The sequence below is a fragment of the Homo sapiens genome, chromosome 1 (assembly GCF_000001405.40).
Source record: "Homo sapiens chromosome 1, GRCh38.p14 Primary Assembly".
In the NCBI taxonomy this organism is placed as follows: Eukaryota; Metazoa; Chordata; class Mammalia; order Primates; family Hominidae; genus Homo; species Homo sapiens.
The window spans coordinates 202,737,482-202,760,581 of record NC_000001.11 but is presented as its reverse complement, the minus strand read 5'-3'; the positions used below and the strand labels follow the sequence as shown (position 1 = coordinate 202,760,581).

The 23,100-nt window shown below is 39.4% G+C and overlaps 1 protein-coding gene across 6 annotated transcripts in view; it reads left to right on the top strand.

The window, feature by feature from the left end:
• Nucleotides 1–23,100, top strand: part of KDM5B (lysine demethylase 5B) — an 83,927-nt gene that overhangs the window by 47,840 nt on the left and 12,987 nt on the right. For all 6 annotated transcript variants that reach the window (NM_001399817.1, NM_001347591.2, NM_006618.5 and 3 more), the window contains 13 exons: nucleotides 9–167; nucleotides 2,072–2,191; nucleotides 4,066–4,224; nucleotides 5,130–5,311; nucleotides 7,515–7,677; nucleotides 9,804–9,923; nucleotides 11,443–11,637; nucleotides 14,259–14,440; nucleotides 14,600–14,724; nucleotides 17,777–17,927; nucleotides 18,077–18,191; nucleotides 18,860–19,215; nucleotides 19,770–19,908. In NM_001399817.1, coding sequence (NP_001386746.1) covers nucleotides 9–167; nucleotides 2,072–2,191; nucleotides 4,066–4,224; nucleotides 5,130–5,311; nucleotides 7,515–7,677; nucleotides 9,804–9,923; nucleotides 11,443–11,637; nucleotides 14,259–14,440; nucleotides 14,600–14,724; nucleotides 17,777–17,927; nucleotides 18,077–18,191; nucleotides 18,860–19,215; nucleotides 19,770–19,908 — 2,166 coding nt within the window. The remainder of the gene's footprint in view (nucleotides 1–8; nucleotides 168–2,071; nucleotides 2,192–4,065; nucleotides 4,225–5,129; nucleotides 5,312–7,514; nucleotides 7,678–9,803; nucleotides 9,924–11,442; nucleotides 11,638–14,258; nucleotides 14,441–14,599; nucleotides 14,725–17,776; nucleotides 17,928–18,076; nucleotides 18,192–18,859; nucleotides 19,216–19,769; nucleotides 19,909–23,100) is intronic.

Sequence of the window (23,100 nt, the reverse complement as noted above, 5' to 3'; positions counted from 1 at the left end):
TGCTACAGGTGGACCTGTATGTCTGTCTTTTATGTGGCAGTGGCAATGATGAAGACCGGCTACTGTTGTGTGATGGCTGTGATGACAGTTACCATACCTTTTGCTTGATCCCACCTCTCCATGATGTTCCCAAGGGAGACTGGAGGTGTCCTAAGTGTTTGGCTCAGGTAATAATTAATAGTAGAGGTAACACTAGAAAAATTTTTTTAGGGCATTTTTCTTTGCCTTTGAGTTTTATTTTTTATTTTATTTTATTTTATTTTTTTTAGACAAGGACTCACTTTGTTGCCCAGGCTGGAGTGCAGTGGCACAAACATGGCTCACTGCAGCATCAACCTCCCTGGCTCAAGCAGTTCTCCCACCTCAGCCCCCCCCACGTAGCTGGGACTACAGGCCCATGCCATGATGCCTGGCTAATTTTTGTATTCTTTGTACAGAGGGGGTTTCACCATGTTGCCCAGGGCTGGTCTCGAACTCCTAAGCTCAAATAGTCCTCCTACCTCGGCCTTCCAAATTGCTGGGATTACAGGTCTGAGCCATCTCACTTGGCCTGCCTTTGGGTTTTAGATTTGGCAGTCGACAGTAATGAGGCCCATGAAGAAAACTGGGATGGACCTGAATAGGAAAGAGGTCTTAGAAGTGAGTTCCACAATGTATGTGGGTAGTTAAGAGGCAGAAAATAATTTGTAATAAGTATCTTATTATTATTTTTTAATTCTTATAAAAAGCATCACATGCTCTTTGCAAGAATTATTAAAACATTGAACAACTTAAAAAGTAGAGTTATGCTTTCACAATGCATATATAACCACTGTTAATGTCTTGGTGTATATTCATCCAGACTTTTTTCTATTTTAAACAAATGGAGCTACATTATATAAGTAATTATTAGTAATCTGCTTTTTTCATTTATAGAGACATTTTCATGTAGCACTGTGATTACTGATGTTTTTAATAGTGCATGCTGTCATTGGTAAAATCTAAAAAGGATCTACGATTATCTTCATGAGGATTTTTTTTTTTTTTTTTTTGAGACAGGATCTCACTCTATCACCCAGGCTGGAGTACAGTGGAGTGCAGTGGCGTGATCTCAGCTCACTGCAACCTCCGCCTCCCCAGCTCAAGTGATCCTCCCGTCTCAGCCTCCCAAGTAGCTGGGACTACAGGCTTGCACCACCATGCCCAGCTAATTTTTGTATTTTTTAGTAGAGACAGGGTTTTGCCACGTTGTCCATGCTGGTCTCAGAACTCCGGAGCTCAGGTGATCCTCCTGCCCCAGCCTCCCAAAGTGCCGGATTACAGGTGTGAGCCACTGCACCCAGCCATTAGGATTATTTTGCATTAATATTATGTAGCAGTCAGTCTATTACCCTTCTTAGGGTTGAATTATAATAGTAAGGAGGTTTATTTTAAGTATAGCATGGCTATAAAGGTTTGAGTGCTTTTCCACGTAGCTATGTTACAACATAAGGATATCTCCATCAATGGGAGGTTATTAGGCATGGGACAGGGATAAATTATTTAATACCTCATAATAGGGATGACCTTATCAATGGATCTGGAATATTCAAGTCTATTGGCTCACAAAGATCTAAGGCAGCTTATACTGCCCCTGTTAACTCCCAGTATTAGGTTATAATCAAATATTGCTGGCCTGAGAGCCATTCTGTTTCCATCAAGTGGTTTATCTCTATTTTGATCTATTGTATGTTGATTTTATAGTTTTAACTCCCAGGAGGACATTATTGCTCTCATTTTCAGTATTGAAAACATTATTTGATTTTGAAGGAAGTCGAGTCTTTAGCCTGCCTCTTATAAATATATAAATTTATCCAAGTTGTGGTTGTTAAAATTGACATTTTATTTGCTCATTAGCAAATAAATAAAATGTATTTCACTTGCTTATTAAAATAACCACATTTTTCAGGCAGGTTTATTTTTATAATGTAGACCTAGCATAGAAGTAAAATAAACAAATTAAAGCCTTGTTTTTTATCTGCCAGCTTGATGATTGACCAAGTATACTTGATGTTTTCAGTGTCACCTAGAACGTAATTTTCTTTATTTTCAGGAATGTAGTAAGCCACAAGAAGCATTTGGCTTTGAACAAGCAGCCAGGGACTATACCCTCCGTACTTTTGGGGAAATGGCAGATGCGTTCAAATCTGATTACTTCAACATGCCAGTCCATGTATGTACATATATACTGCTTTGATTTAGGATTTTAATAGCTTTTGGAGAAAAGTGTACCTGAAGACCCATTTTTAGTTGAGGCCTCACTCTAGTAGGCATTGTCACACAGAAAGCAGAATGAAACTTTAATTTGTTTTGTGGTATTTAAAATTTCACAATACTTTAAAAAGCATTCTAATTTTTTATTTTAGAATTTCTCTAAAGATACCTCTTCCACACAGATTATACAGCACCAGTAATAGAACACTAATAAAGAAAATCATCAGCAATCATTTTGGCCCAACAAATATAAAGAATACTTCACAAAATGTATTAAATGACTGCTGTGTGCCAAGGTGTACTATGCATTGGGAACACATTTGTTGTATATTGTTATGTAATCATAAGTTAGTATTATAAATTTCAGGATGAGTCCATTTTTAATTCCCCTTTATGCACTTTGAAGCATAAGCATTTTCCATTCAGCATTTAATACTCCATCAAATGAGTACACCAAAATGTAATGCTTTAATTCTGGATATTTAAGCTATGATTTTTGTCACTACTAATAAAGCACTGCAGCAAACCCTTTATGCATGTAGTACTCTTTAATTGGATGATTTTCTTGGGATGATTATTGAGGTCAGATGAGAGTCATTCTCCCTCATTCCATCCCAGTTGCTGTATCAATTTATGGATCCCAGCAATATATGAGTGAATTTGTTTTTCCCCAGCACCTCTAACATCAGCTATTAGTTACTTAAAATGTTTGCTTATTTAATGGACTTAAATTTATACTCCATTTGAATTTTCAGTTCTCTTGACTTCCTTATGTGTTATAATATTTGCCAATATGTTTGCTTAACCAATCCTGATGACTTGCATGTAACCTCTTCTATTTGTGGTTAACTGTATATTTTGACAGAATATTAGATGAGGACATTGAGGGATAGACATTTAAATGTTACCTGCCTCTGGATTTACACCAGATTAACAACAGATTGACATTTAGTCTGGTGACTCTTTATTCTAAGGGCGTGCTGCTACAAGTTGCTCCTTTTGTTATATCATATATACTGGAAGTCCCCAACCACCCTTTCCCAACCTGGCCATTGACCAATACCAGTCGGTGGCCTGTTAGGAACAGGGCCACACAGCAGGAGGTGATCAGTGGGCAAACATTACACCCGAGCTCTGCGTCCTGTCAGATCAGTGGCTGCATTAGAGTCTCATAGGAGGGCAAACCCTATTGTGAACTGCCTATGCAAAGGATCTAGGTTGCATGTTCCTTATGAGAATCTAATCCCCCCCCCACCTCCCAGCCCTTGCGCCCTGCCCTTCCCCATCCATGGAAAAATTGCCTTCCATGAAACCCATCCCTGGTGCCAAAAACACAGGGACACTGGCGACCACTGCTATATACTGTGTTTTTTGTGTTGGTTGCCTACATTGCTCTCAGACAGGTCCAGTGAAAAGAATGAAAGGATGGACTCAGGTAATGTATTTGAAAGCATCTCAAAGTATAAAGCATCATTGAAACAACAAACCTTATTACTGTGCTGTTGTCAACTGTACAGTGCTATACGTCATTCAGACACAACTAACCATTATTACTATACAGTTTATGTTACATTTTTTGAAACACAGAAATATCTCCCGGTCATAAATAATTGCTTTCCTTGGCTCCCTTTTACAGTTGTGGCCTGGCTGGTGATAGAGGAACATAAATTCCTTTTAGACAGTAGAGGTTTCCTGAATTGCCTAAGATCAATTATAGAACATTATAGACACAATTTTTCCTTAGGATGCTGTTCTTTGATTCCCATCACTGAGCTTAATTGGTCACAGACAGTTTGTGAGGAAACTCATTTTTTCTATTCCTTGTATTTCCAGATGGTCCCCACAGAGCTTGTTGAGAAAGAATTTTGGAGACTAGTAAGCACTATTGAGGAGGATGTCACAGTGGAATATGGAGCTGACATTGCCTCAAAGGAATTTGGCAGTGGCTTTCCTGTCCGAGATGGGAAAATCAAACTCTCACCTGAGGAAGAGGTAGGCATATAAGTGGCTTGGAAATTGAGGTATTTATTGAAATTCTGTTTGGTTGGCTTGAAGTAACTTATGATTACTTTTAGCAAATCCTTAATTACCAGATTTTTAATGATTTCAAGAAAAGTAGAAAGAGCCTACAGAAGAATTCTAGTCCTAACTATGTCACTATGTTGTGGTCATAGGGGAAAATTACTTATCATCCTTTGCCTTCAGATTTTATAACCTTGGTTTCTCCTTCTGAAGAAAACCTGAAGGCCTGAGACCAGGTCTATTTATTTTCAAACTTTAATATTTTTGAGTATTTTTTTCCATACTAGCGAACTCTTAGGAAGAGTTCTGTTTCTATCTTGGTAGGAAAGTGTGATTTTTTTTTTTTTTTGGTAGTTTTCTTTGAAAGTATTACATATGATCAGAAAAGTACATAGTTATATGTATACAGACTGATGAATTTCCACAAGCTGAACACACCCATGTAACCAGCACTAACTAAAACAAGAAATAGGATATTCCCAGCACCCCAGAAGTTCCCTTTTCGCCCGCTCTCCTTCACTACTTTTCCTCTTTCAGGACGAGCACTATGCCCTCAGGATAATCACTATCCTGACTTCTAACACTATAGATTAGTTTGCCTGATTTTGAACTTTGTTAAAGTGGACTCATGGCTTATGTTCCTCTATATATATTTAAAAAGAGACAGATACAGAAGTATGTGCTGTGTGAGTCCATTTATACAAAGCTCAAAACTGGGCAAAACGAATCTCTGGGCATCCTAGAAGGTCAGCATGGTGGCCCCTCCTCTTCCACATTTCTTTTTTTATTTTGAAGGATAATATTTTTAGCTGGCCTTCTAAAACGTTAGCATTGTATAGCTAAACCTTTATCCTCTTTTGTCTTCTTATTTTTAGGAGTATCTTGATAGTGGCTGGAATTTGAACAACATGCCAGTGATGGAGCAGTCTGTCCTTGCACATATTACTGCTGATATATGTGGCATGAAACTTCCTTGGTTGTATGTGGGAATGTGCTTTTCTTCATTCTGTTGGCACATTGAAGACCACTGGAGCTATTCAATTAACTACTTGCACTGGTGAGAAGTTCCAAAAAGAACCCATGAGTAGTATGCATGCTGGATAGGAAAACTTTCCTTTTCAGTGCAGATGTGTCTTAACTGTGTCTGAAGAGCATTGAACTACTTTTTTCCCTAAGGTTTTTCACTTCTGTTAGAACAGGCATCCTGACAAGTTAAGACAGTGGTTCTTAAGATTCCTAGAGCATCCATGAATTCCCTGAAATTGCACACACACTACTTTGCAAGAACAACGTAATTCTGGGGGAAGGGTAGTTTTTATCTGAAGTAAGGAAGTCTTTGTCTAGGCCGGGTGCAGTGGCTCACGCCTGTAATCCCAGCAGTTTGGGAGGCCAAGATGGGCGGATCACCTGAGGTCAGGAGTTCGAGACCAGCCTGGCCAACATGGAGAAACCCCGTCTTTACTAAAAATATGAAAATTAGCTGGGTGTGGTGGTGAGCACCTATAATCCCAGCTACTTGGGAGGTGGAGGGAGGAGAATCACTTGATCCTGGGAGGCAGAGGTTGCAGTGAGCCAAGAGACCGCACCATTGCACTCCTGCCTGGGCAACAGAGCGAAACTCTGCCTCAAAACAAAAAGAAGTATTTACCTATAGAAAAAGCATATTCTAAATAAAAGTTACTTTTACTATAGAAAATCCCATTTGGTGGCAGTGCTAGCCTGGATACCCCTTTGGGAGAAGCGTGAATTATAGTAGGTACCACAGTGTCCTCCAGGTCTGTGTAATGACTAGCCTCTCTTTTGTTGTGTTGAATTCAGGTATCACTATGCACAGTAGAGTGAGCCTTATCTTGGTGTGCACATTGAGGGGGCAAGGCGGGAGGGATGTGCAGATATTTGGGCTTCTTTACTTTTTAAACTCTTCAAGCCATTTCTTCACATCTGTTTTCTTCTCTATTTTTCTTCTAAATATAAAAATATTTGAAAATCTGTAACTCACTCAAATCCTCACACAAGGAATTTGAGGATGTACCACAAGAAAGAGAATTGGCATATATATGTATAGAATTAATTCTGCTTCCCTAGGCAGTTTCTCCCAGCTGTAAAATGAATATTATATTTACCATACCTCGCAGGGATGATACAGATAAATTGTTTGATAATTTAAAGTCCTTTGAAGAATAAGAATTCCTTAGAAATGCTAATTGCCTTACTAGTGTTTGATTTAACTTCGTCTGCCAGAATGGGCAAGGGAAAAGAAAAATGGAAAGTTGCCTTACCCTTGTGGGTTGCTTTAGGAAACTGTGATAACAACATATCCTGAAGTGAATACGATACCTTATATTCTTAGAAATTCTGGATATTGGCTGGGCATGGTGGCTCACGCCTGTAATCTCAGCACTAAGCTGAGGCGGGCGGTTCACCTGAGGTCAGGAGTTCGAGACCAGCCTGGCAACATGGTGAAACCCCGTGTCCACTAAAAATACAAAAATTAGCTGGGCATGGTGGTGCACGCCTGTAATACTAGCTACTCGGGAGGCTGAGGCAGGAGAATTGCTTGAACCTGGGAGGTGGAGGTTGCAGTGAGCCAAGATTGCGTCATTGCACTTCAGCATGGACAACACAGCAAGACTCAGTCTCAAAAAAAAAAAACAAAAAAAAAACAACAACAACAAAAGAGAAATTCTAGGTGTCTGCATTTTCTAAAGAGTCAGATAAAAATGAGAGTGGGGAGAGGGACTTCAGATGTTCAGATGGAAAGTCTTCTGTTCATACTTGAAGGGGGAAAATGCATTACATATGTTCACATCACATTCCTTTTTTGTTTTTTTTGAGATGGAGTCTTGCTCTTGTCACCCAGGCAGGAATGCAATGGTGTGATCTCTGCTCACTGGATCCTCCACCTCCTGGGGTCAAGTGAATCTTCTGCCTCAGCCTCCCAAGTAGCTGGGATTACAGGTGCCTGCCACCATGCCTGGCTAATTTTGTATTTTTAATAGAGATGGGGTTTCACCATGTTGGCCAGGCTGGTCTTGAACTCCTGACCTCGTGATCTACCCGCCTCAGTCTCCCAAAGTGCTGGGATTACAGACGTGAGCCACAGCACCTGGCTCACATTCACATTTCTAATGATATTTCGTCAGTTTGTGGATTCCTTTTTTGCGTAGTCTTACAAAGCCGAGTCTGAAAAATATGAACTGGTAACCCATTTTGTTTGTGTTGGTGTTGCAGATTGATTTATTTTTATAATCTATTTCCAGGGGTGAGCCAAAAACCTGGTATGGAGTCCCAGGGTATGCTGCTGAGCAGCTAGAAAATGTAATGAAGAAACTAGCTCCAGAACTCTTTGTGTCCCAGCCGGATCTCCTCCATCAGCTTGTGACCATCATGAACCCCAATACCCTGATGACTCATGAAGTGCCTGTATGTTCTGGGTTAATCCTCCTGCCACTCAAGCTTAATTCACCACTTCTCTTTTTCCTTTTTATTCACTTTTTTATGATGTTGATTTAGTTCTGTGTTTTCCATAGCATGACTTGATAGCAGAAACAGCTGTTTTGCTGCAGTACTGTACATTTACTCAGTAGGACTGGATCCTTAGATACCACAAAAACTAATTTGTTGCAGCTGATAACTAGATTGCTAAACAGCCTTCCTTTGCAAGTAATAATTGCAATTCATTGGTTTTAGTGTATTTATAAGTGAAAATCTATTTCAAGGTCTTGAGCTTGTATTTTAGGGTGCCCAGTCTGACTGAAAAGTCTAGAGGTTGCTAAATGAAGTGACAACTATACAGTCATGGGAAACCTAACAACAGGGATATGTTCTGAGAAATGCGTTGCTAGGTGATTTTGTTGTCATGTGAACTTCATGGAGTGTACTTACACAAACCTAGATGGTATAGCCAACTACACACCTAGGCTGTATGGTGTAGGCTATTGCTGCTGGGCTACAAATTTGTACAGCATGTTACTGTACTGAATACCTTAGATAGCTGTAACACAATAGTAAGGATTTGTGTATTTAAATGTATCTAAACAGAAAAGGTACAGTGAAAATATGGTATTATAATCTTACAGATCACCATTGATATGTGGTCTGTCTGTGACCAAAATGTTGTTACATGGTGCACAACTATACTGGCTTCCTTTTGGAGAATACTCTGAAGACATTTGGGAAGCCATATTGAAATGTATGAAGAGTCCATCTTAGCTAAATAAAATGTAAATGATACATTTACAGTGTTAAAGTGAACTTGTTGTGACCTAAAGTTTATGCTTTTGGGTTCATAGGCTAGTCAATGGAGACAACAGAAAGGACTTTCATTTGAGGCATTATAAATTATGCATGGACCATAGCTTAGAAAGTAATCACCAGTAAGCACCACAATCTCACCATCTCCTCATAGTTGGTATTTCTTCTCATAATATTTTTCTTTCCTCATGTTGACTGTTTTTTCCAATTTGTTAAGAGTAGATTGCTTTAATTGAGACCTGACCCTGGTTCTTTAATAATTGAGCAAACTTTCTGGAGTTAGATTCTGGACCTACAGAGATAGATGAATGAACTCCTTGTGCATTTAGGGATTCATTATCTGAAGTAAAAGATAATGTTTATACAGATAATACAAGGGTGGTGTGGTTTGACAGTGGTGACAACTATGAGACTGATCTAATAACTCTATTGAGAATCAGAAAGGGCTCTTAAATGAGATGACATCTGTAGTAGGAGCTGGAACTCTGATAAATTATCACATGTTTGGCAGAGTCAGGGAAGGAGGAAGTATTCCAAGTAGAAGATATGGTGTTCCTGTGATGGGTAGTAGTCTTTACACAGAACCCTGAAGGCCGTATTACTACACAGATGGCTGGTCTCCACCCCTAGAATTTCTGATCCTGTTATTTTGTTAGTCTGAGTGGGGCTTCAGGATTTGCATTTCCAACAAGCTCCTAGTGGATGTTGATGCTTTTGTTCTGGGGGACCGTACACTAGGTAAGCATTGGTGTAGAAATGTAGATGCTTGAAAAGGAATCTAATATTATTATATAATAATAAGCTCAGTATAAGGATTTGTGTGCCTAGAGCAATATAGGTACTTTTGGGGTGAGGGTGGTGGTAGGAAGAAGGGAATGATGGGAGGTAAGTTTGAGTTCCAAATGAGGAGGACCTCTGTATGTTATGAGATTCTTGAAATAGAGTGGGATTGCTTTAATTGGTGGTAGAAGATGCTACTTGAGGGGTAATAATAATATATTAGGATATTCTTAATTGCAGCTGTTTTTAAAAGTTATACCTTGAACCTTAATATGGGCACATTTTTGTTTTGTGTTCAGATACTAATCAACTTTGGTAGTCTGGGATACTGCTCCATCTTGTGACATAAATTAGTATCTCTAGGTGATATTCTACTATAATAATTTGTTTTTTCTGGCTCAATTTCAGAAAGCTGCCTTTTTTTGAAAATTATCTAATAGACTGTGTCCAGATTGTCTTTAGTAACAATGTCACTCTTTAAGAAACTCAAAAATCTTCAATTTCTGTCTCTTTAGGTTTACCGAACTAATCAGTGTGCTGGGGAGTTTGTGATTACATTTCCAAGAGCCTACCACAGTGGTTTTAACCAGGGTTTTAATTTTGCTGAGGCTGTTAACTTCTGCACTGTTGATTGGGTATGTAATTACAATGTAGTTAACCTTTTCAAATTTATTGTTTTTCCTGAGGAAATGGAATATAATGTTTTAAAGTGTCATGTGGGCTGGGTGCGGTAGCTCATGCCTATAATCCCAGCGCTTTCGGAAGCCAAGGTGGGCAGATCACCTGAGGTCAGGAGTTCGAGACCAGCCTGGCCAACATGGTGAAGCCCCATCTCTACTAAAAATACAAAAATTAGGCGTGGCGGTGGGCGCCTGTAATCCCAATTACTTGGGAGGCTGAGGCAGGAGAATCACTTGAACCCAGGAGGTGGAGGTCGCAGTGAGCCAAGATCACGCCATTGCACTCCAGCCTGGGCAACAGACTGAAACTCTGTCTCAAAAAAATAAATAAATGTCACATGGATAGTTGCCTTGACCCATTACTGCTCAGCTGGTCAGTCTGCAAATTGTTTACCAGTCCACAATGAGATAAAGCACTTGTACCACAGTGTAAATCAAGCATGAATTACCTAAGCATACTGCTTAGTTCAGCTGATGTTTTTTCTTTTGTAGCAAGACTTTGTTGATGAAGAATGGAGTCTATTGATTTACATTCTGGCTGAAGCTCAGTATCTCATTGCAAACTGATAAATAATTCCAGTCTAAAGGCTTTGTATAGTACTAGCTTACATTATCTGCAGTACAGCAATTTAAGGACACATTTGGTTTCATTAGTTGTAAAGTTTAATTTTTATATTTGTATTAATACTTTTCATTTACCTAAAAAGTTCTAGATTAAGTGGTGTTAAAGCTAATGAATTATAACTTTGTTATAATGGCACTTGCTATATCTATACTTATTTCCCATTAAGTAGTTTTTCAGAGTATTATTCCCTGAAGTAGGTTGATCATACCAGTTCAGCACAATTATTTCAGGAAATATATAAGGTCATACTTCTAATTAGATTCTACATTGTTGTAGATACTCATACATTGTTAATATGCTGGGTCTTTTTTTTTTTTTTAACCACTTTTTAATTAAGATATGTAAGATTACAGATCTTTGGGATGCAAAGATAAATAGGGCCTAGGCTAGGAATTTTATGAGTCTGGTGTTTTGTTTGTTTTTTAAATTTTTTCGAGACAGTCTCGCTCTGTCACCCAGGCTGGAGTGCAGTGGTGCAATCATGGCTCATTGCAGCCTCGACCTCCCAGGCTCAAGCAATCCTTCCACATCAGCCTCCAGAGTAGATGGGACTACAGGCGTGCACCGCCACACCCGACTAATGTTTATATTTGTTTGTAGAGATGGGATTTCACCATACTGCACAGGCTGGTCTCCAATTCTTAGACTCAAGCAAGGCTTGGCCTCCCAAAGTGTTGGAATTACAGGTGTGAGCCATCTACCTGGCCCAGAGTCTGGTTTTAGGGTTGGTAAATGATACGTGTTAAGACCCATAGTGTGATGTTTGGTAATTTGATAATAATGGGTCAGAGGTGTTTGGAAATAGAAGAAAGATGAATGTTATTTTTTTCTTTCCGTGTTTTGATACAGCTGCCATTAGGCCGACAGTGTGTGGAGCATTATCGCTTGCTTCATCGATATTGTGTGTTTTCCCACGATGAGATGATCTGCAAGATGGCTTCCAAGGCTGATGTATTAGATGTTGTAGTGGCTTCAACTGTTCAGAAAGACATGGCCATTATGATTGAGGATGAGAAAGCTTTAAGAGAAACTGTCCGTAAATTGGTAAGGCTTATGGAAATCCAACTGCATGTTGTCATTGGGTATTATTTAGTAAAATTTTTACGCACTTTAATATCATTTTAAGCAGTCTTTTTAAAGCCTATTTTCTTTGAGGCCATTGTAATAGATGTATAGTAGTATCTCGTGGTTTTAATTTTTATTCACTATCTTATTTGCCACATGTACATATGTCTCTTTGAAGTAGCTGTTCAAATGTCTTGCCCCTTTAAAAAAAATGTTTTGTAGAAACAGGGTCTCACTATGTTGCCCAGGCTGGTCTCAAACTCCTGGGTTCAAGCTATCCACCCAACTCAACCTCCCAATGTGCTGGGATTACAGGCGTGAGCCACCACACCCGGCTTGCCCTTTATTTTTTTAAAACATTTGGTTTTTGTAATAATTCTTTATGTATTCTGCATACCAGTTTTTTTTTTTTTAAATCAGATAGGTGTTTTGCTAATGTTTTCTCCCAGTCTGTGGCTTGTCTTTGATTTTCCTACCAGTGTCTTTCAGCAAGCAGGAGTTTTTCATTTTGATGAAGTCCAGTTTGTTAATTATTTTCTTGTGTGAATCATGTTTTTTTGGTTTCCTATTTAATAAATCTTGCCTAATCCAAAGTTACAAAGATTTTCTCCTACAAAGTCATCTAGAATTTCATAGTTTGAAGTTTTACATTTAGGTCTTTCATCTATTTCAAGTAATTTTTGTTTTTCAAAAATATGAGTCAAGGTTCATTTTTTTGCATGTGGATATCTAGTTCTTCCAGCAGCATTTCTTGAAAAGACTATCTTTTCTTCATTAAATTGCTTTGGCACCTTTGTTGAAAATCAATTCACCACATAAGTATGGGTCTATTTCTGGACTCTTGTGTTCTGGTGATCTATGCATCTATTCTATTGCTAATACTAAATGGTCTTGATTATTGTAGCTTTCTAAGAAGTCTTGAAATCAGGTAGTATGAGTCTTCTAACTTTGTTTTTTTTAAAAAATTGTTTTATCTCTTTTACTTTTTTTAATGTACATTTTAGAATCAGCTTATTGATTTCTACCAAATCAATTCCTGTTGGAATTTTGATTGAGACTGCATGAAACTATGGATAGTTTGGGGGAGAATTGATATCTTAATAATATTGAGTCTTCCAATTCATGAACATAGTATAATTTTATATTGCATGTTTTTTGGCACTATTATAAATTGTACTTTTAAAAACTGAATTTCTAATTGTTTATTGCTAGTATTTAGAGAGACAATTGACTTGTATATTGACCTTGTCTCCTGAGACCTTGCTAAAGTCACTTAATTCCCAGTAGCTTTTTCATGGATTCTTTTAGAATAATAATATCTGCAAATAGTAATACTGTTTTTTTTTTTTTTTTTAAAAATATGTGCCTTTTTGGGTAGAATCCTGGAATATTGGCTCTCTGCAGCCCATTTACATTTTAACAGCAGGTTACCTACCTTACCCTCTTATATTTTACAGTTGGGGGAAAATAGTGCCCAGAGGGTTTAAGTAACTTACCAAAGTCTTACATCAAAAATGGTAGCTCATTTTTAGAACTCTGAGACTTTTTCCATATATGGAATTTACAAATTAAAATTAGGTATGAACTACATGATTGATTCTCAATTAAAATCCATGGAGTTGGTCCTTAATCTTATTTTAAACAAAAATGTTAACTTTCTCCATCCCATGAAGTCCTTTTTAATGACCAATTCAAGAATAAAACCAAAATCTAATTAGCATTTTCCTTACCTTCCTCATCTTTGTTGGCCCATATAATTGGCAGATATGAAATAGTTAAAAGGTTAAAATACAGGATAACAGAATAAAAGAAAGAAGCCCAGTAGTTCATAAACGACTGGCATTCTCAAGGCTGGATTAGGATCCAGTTTTAGATAGGGAGAAAAGGTGATAGAAGTTTGGTCTTTAAATGACAAAAGGTGTATCCAAGAAGGGTTCTCTAGATGTTAGGTGGTACAGATTATGTTGAAATTTACTGGTTCAAGACCTTATTTTTCCTGACAGTCTTTTAGGAGGAAATGTTTAATTATGACTTTAGTCTTTGCTATTGCACAAATTTTCTAACTATTCAGTTAATGATATCCTTTCATATAACTTCCTGTAAAAGGCTGAGAGACCACTCAGCATCTTCCCAAACTCAATTTCTGCACGATAGTCTTTTCCACTCGTCCCATCTTCTTTCCTTTTATTTTTGTCCTTTTAATAGATTCTCCATATTTCCTCAGAAGTAGGAAACATATTCCTTTCTTTTAATCTTATCTATACCTCTTATCTATACCCAAAATGTGGACAAGGCTAATTTGTAGTAGAACAGATAACTAATCTCAGTAGTTTTACAGTCCTATGGTGTTCATACTCAGATCAAAATGACCAAACATAAGGACCTGCCTTGTCTGAAAAAGGAGATCTCCCTAGACAAATGAACTTGCCTGTATTTGCTAGGTCATTTGTTTCTTTGTATGCCACACATTTTTAATCATGCATCCCTATTTTGGTAAAGCTTTTTTTTTTTTTTCAGACTCAAGTACTACTGCATGTTTGTCTTGGGCTGGTGGATTATATTATCCTTTGGAGGTCTCTCTAAAGTATACTTTATTCTAGGGAGTGATTGATTCGGAAAGAATGGATTTTGAGCTGTTGCCAGATGATGAACGTCAGTGTGTAAAATGCAAAACTACATGCTTCATGTCTGCCATCTCCTGTTCTTGTAAACCTGGCCTTCTTGTTTGCCTGCATCATGTAAAAGAATTGTGTTCCTGTCCTCCTTACAAATATAAATTGCGGTAAGTAGGAAGAACGATTTTTTTTCCTATGGAAAACAGTTGATCCTTACTAAAAGCTCAATGATACCGCAGTTCTAGGGCTGAAATGTTAAGTATAAAACATCTAGTTTTCTCCAAAGCTACACGTCTCAAAGCTAAGTGTGGTGGTATTATTTCCAGGTATAGGTACACGCTGGATGATCTCTACCCTATGATGAATGCATTGAAGCTTCGAGCAGAATCTTACAACGAATGGGCCTTGAATGTGAATGAAGCTTTGGAGGCAAAGATCAACAAGAAGAAAAGTATGTGATACAGAAAGTGACTTGGTGATTGGCAAATTGGGGCTTATTGTGATGTAGCCAAATTAAAGTCAACAAAACATTTCTTGAAACAGCCTGACCTCATCCTTGGTTAGCCCCTCTACATAGCCCGGTTTACAGAGCACCGGCAGAGAAGGTTTTAAAACCAAGAGTGGATAAGGCAGTTGCCCTTACATCCCAGTGAAATTTTGTTATATGAGTTGTGCAACATCACTTACTTAACAAAAACGATATTGTTAGGAAACCTTTATTTTTGTCTCAGAAATAAAAATTTCACATTTCTTACAAAGATGTTGAAATCTTTAAAAAAACAAAAACAAAAACAAAGCATCTTGTGACAAAGGCAGCATGACACTAAATCAGGAGTCTCTGAAATGGTAGTTTATCACTTCTTAGTTCTAATTAAAGTTAAGGTCCCTGGCACTTGTCATTACCTTTGAAAGTCACTGCTACCCTTTATATCTCTCTCTCTCTTTTTTCTTATGAAAATATAGTTTGTTTTTTGCTTTTTACTTTTCACCTCAGGGGTATATGTGCAAGCTTGTTACATAGATAAACTTGTGTCATGGGCGTTTGTTGTACAGATTATTTCATCATCCAGGTATTAAGCTTAGTACCCATTAGTTATTTTTCTGGAGCCTCTCCCTCCTCCTGCCCTCCACCCTCCAATAGGCTCCATTGTGTGTTGTTCCCCTGTATGTGTTCACGTGTTACTCCCCTGTATGCATCCATGTGTTTTCATCATTTAGCTCCCACTTAATAAGTGAGAATATGCAGTATTTGCTTTCCTGTTCCTAGTGTTAGTTTGCTAACTAATTGCCTCCAGTTCCATCCATGTTCCTGCAAAGGACACGAGCTCATTCTTTTTTATGGCTGCATAGTATTCCATGGTGTATATGTACCACATTTTTCTTTATCCAGTCTATCATTGATGGGTATTTAGGTTGATTCTATGTCTTTGCTATTGTGAATAGTGTTGCAGTGAACATACACATGCATGTGTCTTTATAAATGGAATGATGTATATTCCTTTGGGTATATACCCAGTAATGGCATTGCTCGGTCAAATGGTATTTCAGTCTTTAGATCTTTGAAGAATCACCACACTGTCTTCCACAATCGTTGAACTAATTTACACTTCTACCAACAGTGTATATGCGTTCCCTTTTCTCCACAACCTTGCCAGCATGTTACTTTTTGACTTTTTAATAATAGCCATTCTGACTGGTATGAGGTGATATCTCATTGTGGTGTTTTTTTTGTTTGTTTTTGTTTTTGTTTTGAGACGGAGTCTTGCTCTGTCACCCAGACTGGAGTGCAGTGGTGCGATCTCGGCTCACTGCAACCTCCACCTCCTGGGTTCAAGCAATTCTCCTGCCTCAGCCTCCTGTGTAGCTGGGACTACAGGCACGTGCCAACATGCCCAGCTAATTTTTGTATTTTTAGTAGAGACAGGATTTCACCATGTTAGTCAGGCTGGCCTTGAACTCCTGACCTTGTGATCTGCCTGCCTCGGCCTCCCAAAGTACTGGGATTACAGGCGTGAGCCACTGCGCCCGGCCTTTCATTGTAGTTTTGATTTGCATTTCTCTAATGATCAGTGATGTTGAGCTTTTTTTCATATGATTGTTGGCCATACGTATGTCTTCTTTTGAAAAGTATCTTTTCATATCCTTTGCCTACTTTTTAATGTTTTTTTCTTGTAAATTTGTTTTAAGTTCCTTATATATGCTGGATATTAGACCTTTGTCAGATGCACAGTTTGCAAGTATTTTCTCCCATTCTGTAGGTTGTCTATTCACTCTGATGATAGTTTCTTTTGCTGTGCAGAAGCTCTTTAATTAGATCCCATTTGTCAGTTTTTGCTTTTGTTGAAGTTGCTTTTGGCATCTTCATGAAATCTTTGCCTGTGCCTATGTCCTGACAGGTATTGCCTAGGTTGTCATCCAGGGTTTTTATATTTTTGGGTTTTACATTTAAGTCTTTCATTCCTCTTGAGTTAATTTTTGTATATGGTGTAAGGAAGGGGTCCAGTTTTAATCTTCTGCATATGGCTAGCTGTTATTCCAGCACCATTTATTGAATAGGGAATCCTTTCTCCATTGCTTGTTTTTGTTAGATTAGTTGAAGATCAGATAGTTGTAGGTGTGCCTTTTTATTTCTGGGTTCTCTATTCTGTTCTGTTAGTCTGTGTGTCTGTTTTTGTACCAGTCCATTTCTCTTTCAGAGTGTTTTCACTTGCTTCCATTTCTGTAGCCCAACACGTAACTCCACCCGCTTTTATTTAGGGGAAAGGAGCAATATCATTGTCTCTGAGTCTCCTGTGCTCTAGTAACTGAGCACACTAGTTACTCACTAACTGCAGAATAAAATGCAGGAGGAAGAAGTGGTTCAAGCCACAATAAGATTTATATTTACTTTGCTTTCATAAGTCAGTTGTTTTCTTCTTTTTGTCTATTTTAAACATGCCAGGTGTTTTTTTTTTTTTTTTTTTTTTTTTTTTGAGACAAGGTCTTGCTCTGTCATCTCAACTGGAGTGCAGTGGCATGGTCGTGGCTCACCGCAGCCTTGAAATCCTGGGTTTAAGTAATCCTCCTGCTTTAGTTTGTCAAATAGTTGGGACTACAGTTGTGTGCCACCATGGCTGGCTAAGTTCTTTAATTTTGTAGAGAGGAGATCTTGCTTGTGTTGACCAGGCTGGTGTTAAACTCCTGGCCTCAAGTGATCTTCCTGCCTTGGCCTTGCAAATTGCTGGGATTTACAGGCGTGAGCCACTGTACCCGCCCTAAAACATGTCAGGTCTTAGCATTTTTATATTTAAGTTCAACTCTAGGCACTTGTTTAAAAAACTCCGTGTTCAGCCACCACCCTGCAAAAATCAAATCAACAAATTTGTTAATAATTTAAAGCATTGCAAACATTTGTAAGTTACATTTCTAGACAAGAACTGACAAAACCAGTCTCCTCTGAATTTCATACCAGTAGTAATAAACATAATGATTACAGAAAATATGACTTTTTTCTTCATTCCTAGGCCTTGTCAGCTTCAAGGCTTTAATTGAAGAATCTGAAATGAAGAAATTCCCAGACAATGATCTTTTGCGACACCTTCGCCTAGTCACACAGGATGCAGAGAAGTGTGCCTCTGTTGCGCAGCAGTTGCTTAATGGCAAAAGGCAAACTAGGTATGCGCTTCTGACTGCGTGAGTTTGGATTCTTTGGCACCTATGTTTGGAAACCTGTTGTGACTCCTGTCTTGAATTTCTGTGACCACCTGGGTGTGGTGGACATGTATGTATTCTTATATGGCTTCCTTGGGCCTTTGTCTTTACAGATATCGATCTGGTGGAGGGAAATCCCAAAATCAGTTGACAGTGAATGAGCTCCGGCAGTTTGTAACACAGCTGTATGCTCTTCCATGTGTCCTCAGTCAGACACCATTACTAAAGGTAACCATAGAGGGATGTGTGGGAGAATACTTTGGTAATCCTGTATTTTGTATATAAACTCTATTGATATTACTAAGTAATCTTCTTTGATGATTAATATGTACATTTATTTGCAGATGCTTTTAATAACCTATTGAGTGGTATATGTATATAAAGAGATTATAGTAGATCCACAGAGGGGAAATAAAGTTGGAAATTTTTACTTTGAAAGTGACCTTGGCTGGGCATGGTGGCTCACACCTGTAACCCCAGCACTTTGGGAGGCTGAGGAGGTGGATCATGAGGTCAGGAGTTCAAGACCAGCCTGACCAATATGGTGAAACCCCATCTCTACTAAAAATAGAAAAATTAGCCGGGCATGGTGGTGCATGCCTGTAGTCCCAGCTACTTGGGAGGCTGAAGCAGGAGAATCGCTTGAACCCAAGAGGCGGAGGTTGCAGAAAAAAAAAAAAAGAGAAAGTGACCTCAGCTAGTTTAAGCTGGGATAAGGTGTCTGTTATAGTCACTTAGTATTTGCTGTTAGTTGGCTTATGTGTTATCTTATTTACCTATATTATTACTAAAATTAAATGGGATCTCATTGAATATGAATTTAAGATTCTAAGTTTGAAAGAAGCCAATTACTGAAATTACTGTTTTAATGCAACAACCTGTGTATTTTTTTTTAGGATCTCTTGAATCGTGTAGAAGATTTTCAACAGCATAGTCAGAAACTACTCTCTGAGGAAACGCCTAGTGCTGCGGAGCTGCAGGACTTGCTAGATGTCAGCTTTGAATTTGATGTTGAACTTCCACAGCTTGCTGAGATGCGTATCCGTTTGGAACAAGCCCGTTGGCTAGAAGAGGTGCAGCAAGCTTGCCTAGACCCCAGCTCCCTTACTTTAGATGATATGAGACGTCTCATAGACCTAGGGGTAGGGCTGGCCCCGTATTCAGCAGTGGAGAAAGCTATGGCCCGGCTGCAGGAACTGCTCACAGTGTCAGAGCACTGGGACGACAAAGCCAAGAGTCTCCTCAAGGCCAGGTGAAAAAGCAGACTTCTCTTTCTTTGGGAAGGTTGGACAGTTATCTCCAGCTTAAACACAGAGCACAATGATTGGTCTATGGCAAGTGCTCAGTAGCTGCGGTTATTATGCATGTGGAAGACATGTAGAAATAGCTGAGATATTTGGAGCTGCTTTGGGACCTGAGTAAAAGAATGTTAATTTTTTCTTATTTTACTGATTAAAAATGAATAATTCAATTGGACACACCTTTTCTAGAGTTGGTTTAATGAAATTTCCCTGGATCCTGTTAATATCGTGTCTTTGAGAGAGGAAAATATTTACAAATAGGTGAAGCTGTTTAAACTCACAGTTAATACGGTTCCAAGGAGTCTTAAAGAGAAATGTGTGAGAGTTAATAGGCACTGTTCTGCAAGAAAACAGTGCAGATAATTTTCAACAGGAATAGACAATGTCATTTGAAAAAAATTATTTGCCATACTGAATTTCCTTTGAAATGCTAGTTTTTTTGGTAACCATAAGAAAAATGAACCATCATATAAAATGCTAAGAAGTCTTTGTTTGCATTTTGTAGGCCACGACATTCATTGAATAGCCTTGCTACGGCAGTAAAGGAAATCGAAGAGATCCCTGCATATCTGCCCAATGGTGCGGCTCTGAAAGACTCAGTGCAGAGAGCCAGAGACTGGCTTCAGGATGTAGAGGGCCTGCAGGTTGGTTTTAAAAAGTATATACAGAATGTGTAAGTGCATCCATAAAGAGCAATATTGGCGCCCCGTCCGGGAGGGAGGTGGGGGGGTCAGCCCCCGACCCGGCCAGCCGCCCCGTCCGGGAGGTGAGGGGCGCCTCTGCCCAGCCGCCCCTACTGGGAAGTGAGGAGCCCCTCTGCCCGGCCAGCCGCCCCGTCCGGGAGGGAGGTGAGGGGGTCAGCCCCCCGCCCGGCCAGCCGCCCCGTCCGGGAGGGAGGTGGGGGGGTCAGACCCCCACCCGGCCGGCTGCCCTGTCCGGGAGGGAGGTGGGGGGGTCAGCCCCCCGCCCGGCCGGCCACCCCGTCCGGGAGGTGAGGGGCGCCTCTGCCCGGCCGCCCCTACTGGAAAGTGAGGAGCCCCTCTGCCCGGCCAGCCGCCCCGTCCGGGAGGGAGGCGGGAGGGTCAGCCCCCAACCCGGCCAGCCGCCCCGTCCGGGAGGTGAGGGGCGCCTCTGCCCGGCCGCCCCTACTGGGAAGTGAGGAGCCCCTCTGCCCGGCCAGCCGCCCCGTCCGGGAGGGAGGTGGGGGGGGTCAGCCCCATGCCCGGCCAGCCGCCCCGTCCGGGAGGTGAGGGGCGCCTCTGCCCGGCTGCCCCTACTGGGATGTGAGGAGCTCCTCTGCCCGGCCACCACCCCGTCTGGGAGGTGTACCCAACAGCTCATTGAGAACGGGCCGGGATGACAATGGCGGTTTTGTGGAATAGAAAGGGGGGAAAGGTGGGGAAAAGATTGAGAAATCGGATGGTTGCCGTGTCTGTGTAGAAAGAAGTAGACATGGGAGACTTTTCATTTTGTTCTGTACCAAGAAAAATTCTTCTGCCTTGGGATCCTGTTGATCGGTGACCTTACCCCCAACCCTGTGCTCTCTGAAACATGTGCTGTGTCCACTCAGGGTTAAATGGATTAAGGGCGGTGCAAGATGTGCTTTGTTTAACAGATGCTTGAAGGCAGCATGCTCATTAAGAATCATCACCACTCCCTAATCTCAAGTACCCAGGGACACAAACACTGCCGAAGGCCGCAGGGTCCTCTGCCTAGGAAAACCAGAGACCTTTGTTCACTTGTTTATCTGCTGACGTTCCCTCCACTATTGTCCTATGACCCTGCCAACTCCCCCTCTGCGAGAAACACCCAAGAATGATCAATAAAAAATAAATAAATAAATAAAAATAAAAATAAAAAAGGCAAAAAAAAAAAAGAGCAATATTGGAAAGTTGTGAAGAATAATACGTTGGATCTTGCTGCACAGTTTCAGTATTTTAGGGGTTGACCAGAAGACTAATTCTATTCATACTTATTTGGATGTACTTACCAGCTATTATCCTGACCAGTTGTCTCAAATATTTAAAGCTTAGACAGTGTCACCAACTTTTTCTGGGAGCTGGGGAGTCTTTCATAACAAACTTGAGTACTTGACTGCAGATTGAAGCAAAAGAGCTAACAATGAAGTAGTGAGAGAAAGTAGTTTTCTACTCTTTGATAAGTATGATTACCTCTTGTTGGCTTGTCCACAACTTTGAAGTTCAGACAATCAGTAATAGCAAATTCAGTGAATCTAGTTATATGACTAAATGCCCAGCTAAGCCCCAAGGCCCAGAATTTTCATGAAGTAGTGACTTAAAAGTACCCTCCCAACCCTACAAAAGAAATAAAACCTACCCAGTTCCAAAGTAATTATCCAAAGTATCCAAAGTCATTTCCACCAAGTATTTGTGGTTTTATGCTAGATGTTATACTTATTGACCTGTATATAAGTTTAAAAAAAGAATTAAATTCACTTGTAGCATTGTTAAGGTACAAAAAGAATTCATTCTTTAATATGATTTTCCCAGTTTTCAGACGACTGGCTGAATGACTTAATTTGAAACGTGTTTGATGGGGGATGTCTTCCCTTATCTCTTATCATCATAAACCAATAGGTGTTACTGACCTATTGAGAAAAAAAAAAGTCTCAAGTTCTATTTTGTTGAAGTCCTCAAATTCTAGAAATAAAATACGATCTGGCTTTCTGAATATTTGTGTAATTTTAAGTGGTGTTAATTGGCTAATTGCTAACAAGAAATACCAAACAGGACAATTCTAGACAAATGTTTGCATCTGTTCTTGTTAATAGGGAAAAGAAGATATATTGTTTGAGGAGATTACATAATTAAGGACTGACTCCAGCAAGCCAAAAACAAAAACAAAAGTATTTACTATGGACATAAACTTTGTTAATGAGAGTTTTAGATGCAGGCACTTGTCAATGATAGTTGGTATTGTAGTAATTAGTTTTAGTTATGGTCCTCCTTTTTACTCCATGATTGCTAGCAGCCAGAAGGTGAAGTCATGGCAGTAAGGAGAGGCTGACATATAAAATCAGAAAGCAAGGGCATGCTTCTGGATGAGTTTATTTCCTTCATATTTTATATGTATATGCTACTTACTATGTTTGTAACAGTGCCATTAAGGGCAAAAGGCAAGTTTTTTGCTTCATTCCTGAAAAAGTAGCCTACCTTTTTTTTGCATCATATATTTAAGGACTGCTACACATGACTAACAACAAGGAACTACTTCCTATTTAGTGGATTATTTAAATGTTATGCAGTATTCTGCTTTACACATAGGAAGCACTCGGATTTCTAAATTAAATATCATAGGAATAGCATTAATTTATGAGTCACATTCTTAAGTGTCCATCAGAACATTTATGCCCTAACAGATTTAATTCTGTAAGAATAAATATCAAAGGCAGCAAAATATCAACCTACCCAGTCTTCCCTAGTTGTCCCAAAAATGTCCCTTATGGCTGTTTGTCTAACCCAGAAACACATGTTGCACCTAATTGTCATCTCTTTAAGTTTCTTTTAATCTTGTAGCGTTTTCCTCCCCACCCCACTTTTTCTCATGTCACTGACTAGACAGTTATCCCATGGTATGCTCCACCTTCTGGATTTGTTTGATTGTTTCTTTGTGGAGTGTTCTGTTCTCTGTATTTCCTATAAATTGGAAGTTAGTTTTAAAGCCCTGGTGCATCCAAGTTAAACATTTTTTTAATATAATGCATTAAAATGTCAGGTAATACTGTATATTCTATATTGCATCACAACAGGAGATATATCTGGATGACCTACCATTAGTGATGCTAAGTTTTACATTGTATTGGAGCAACACCAATG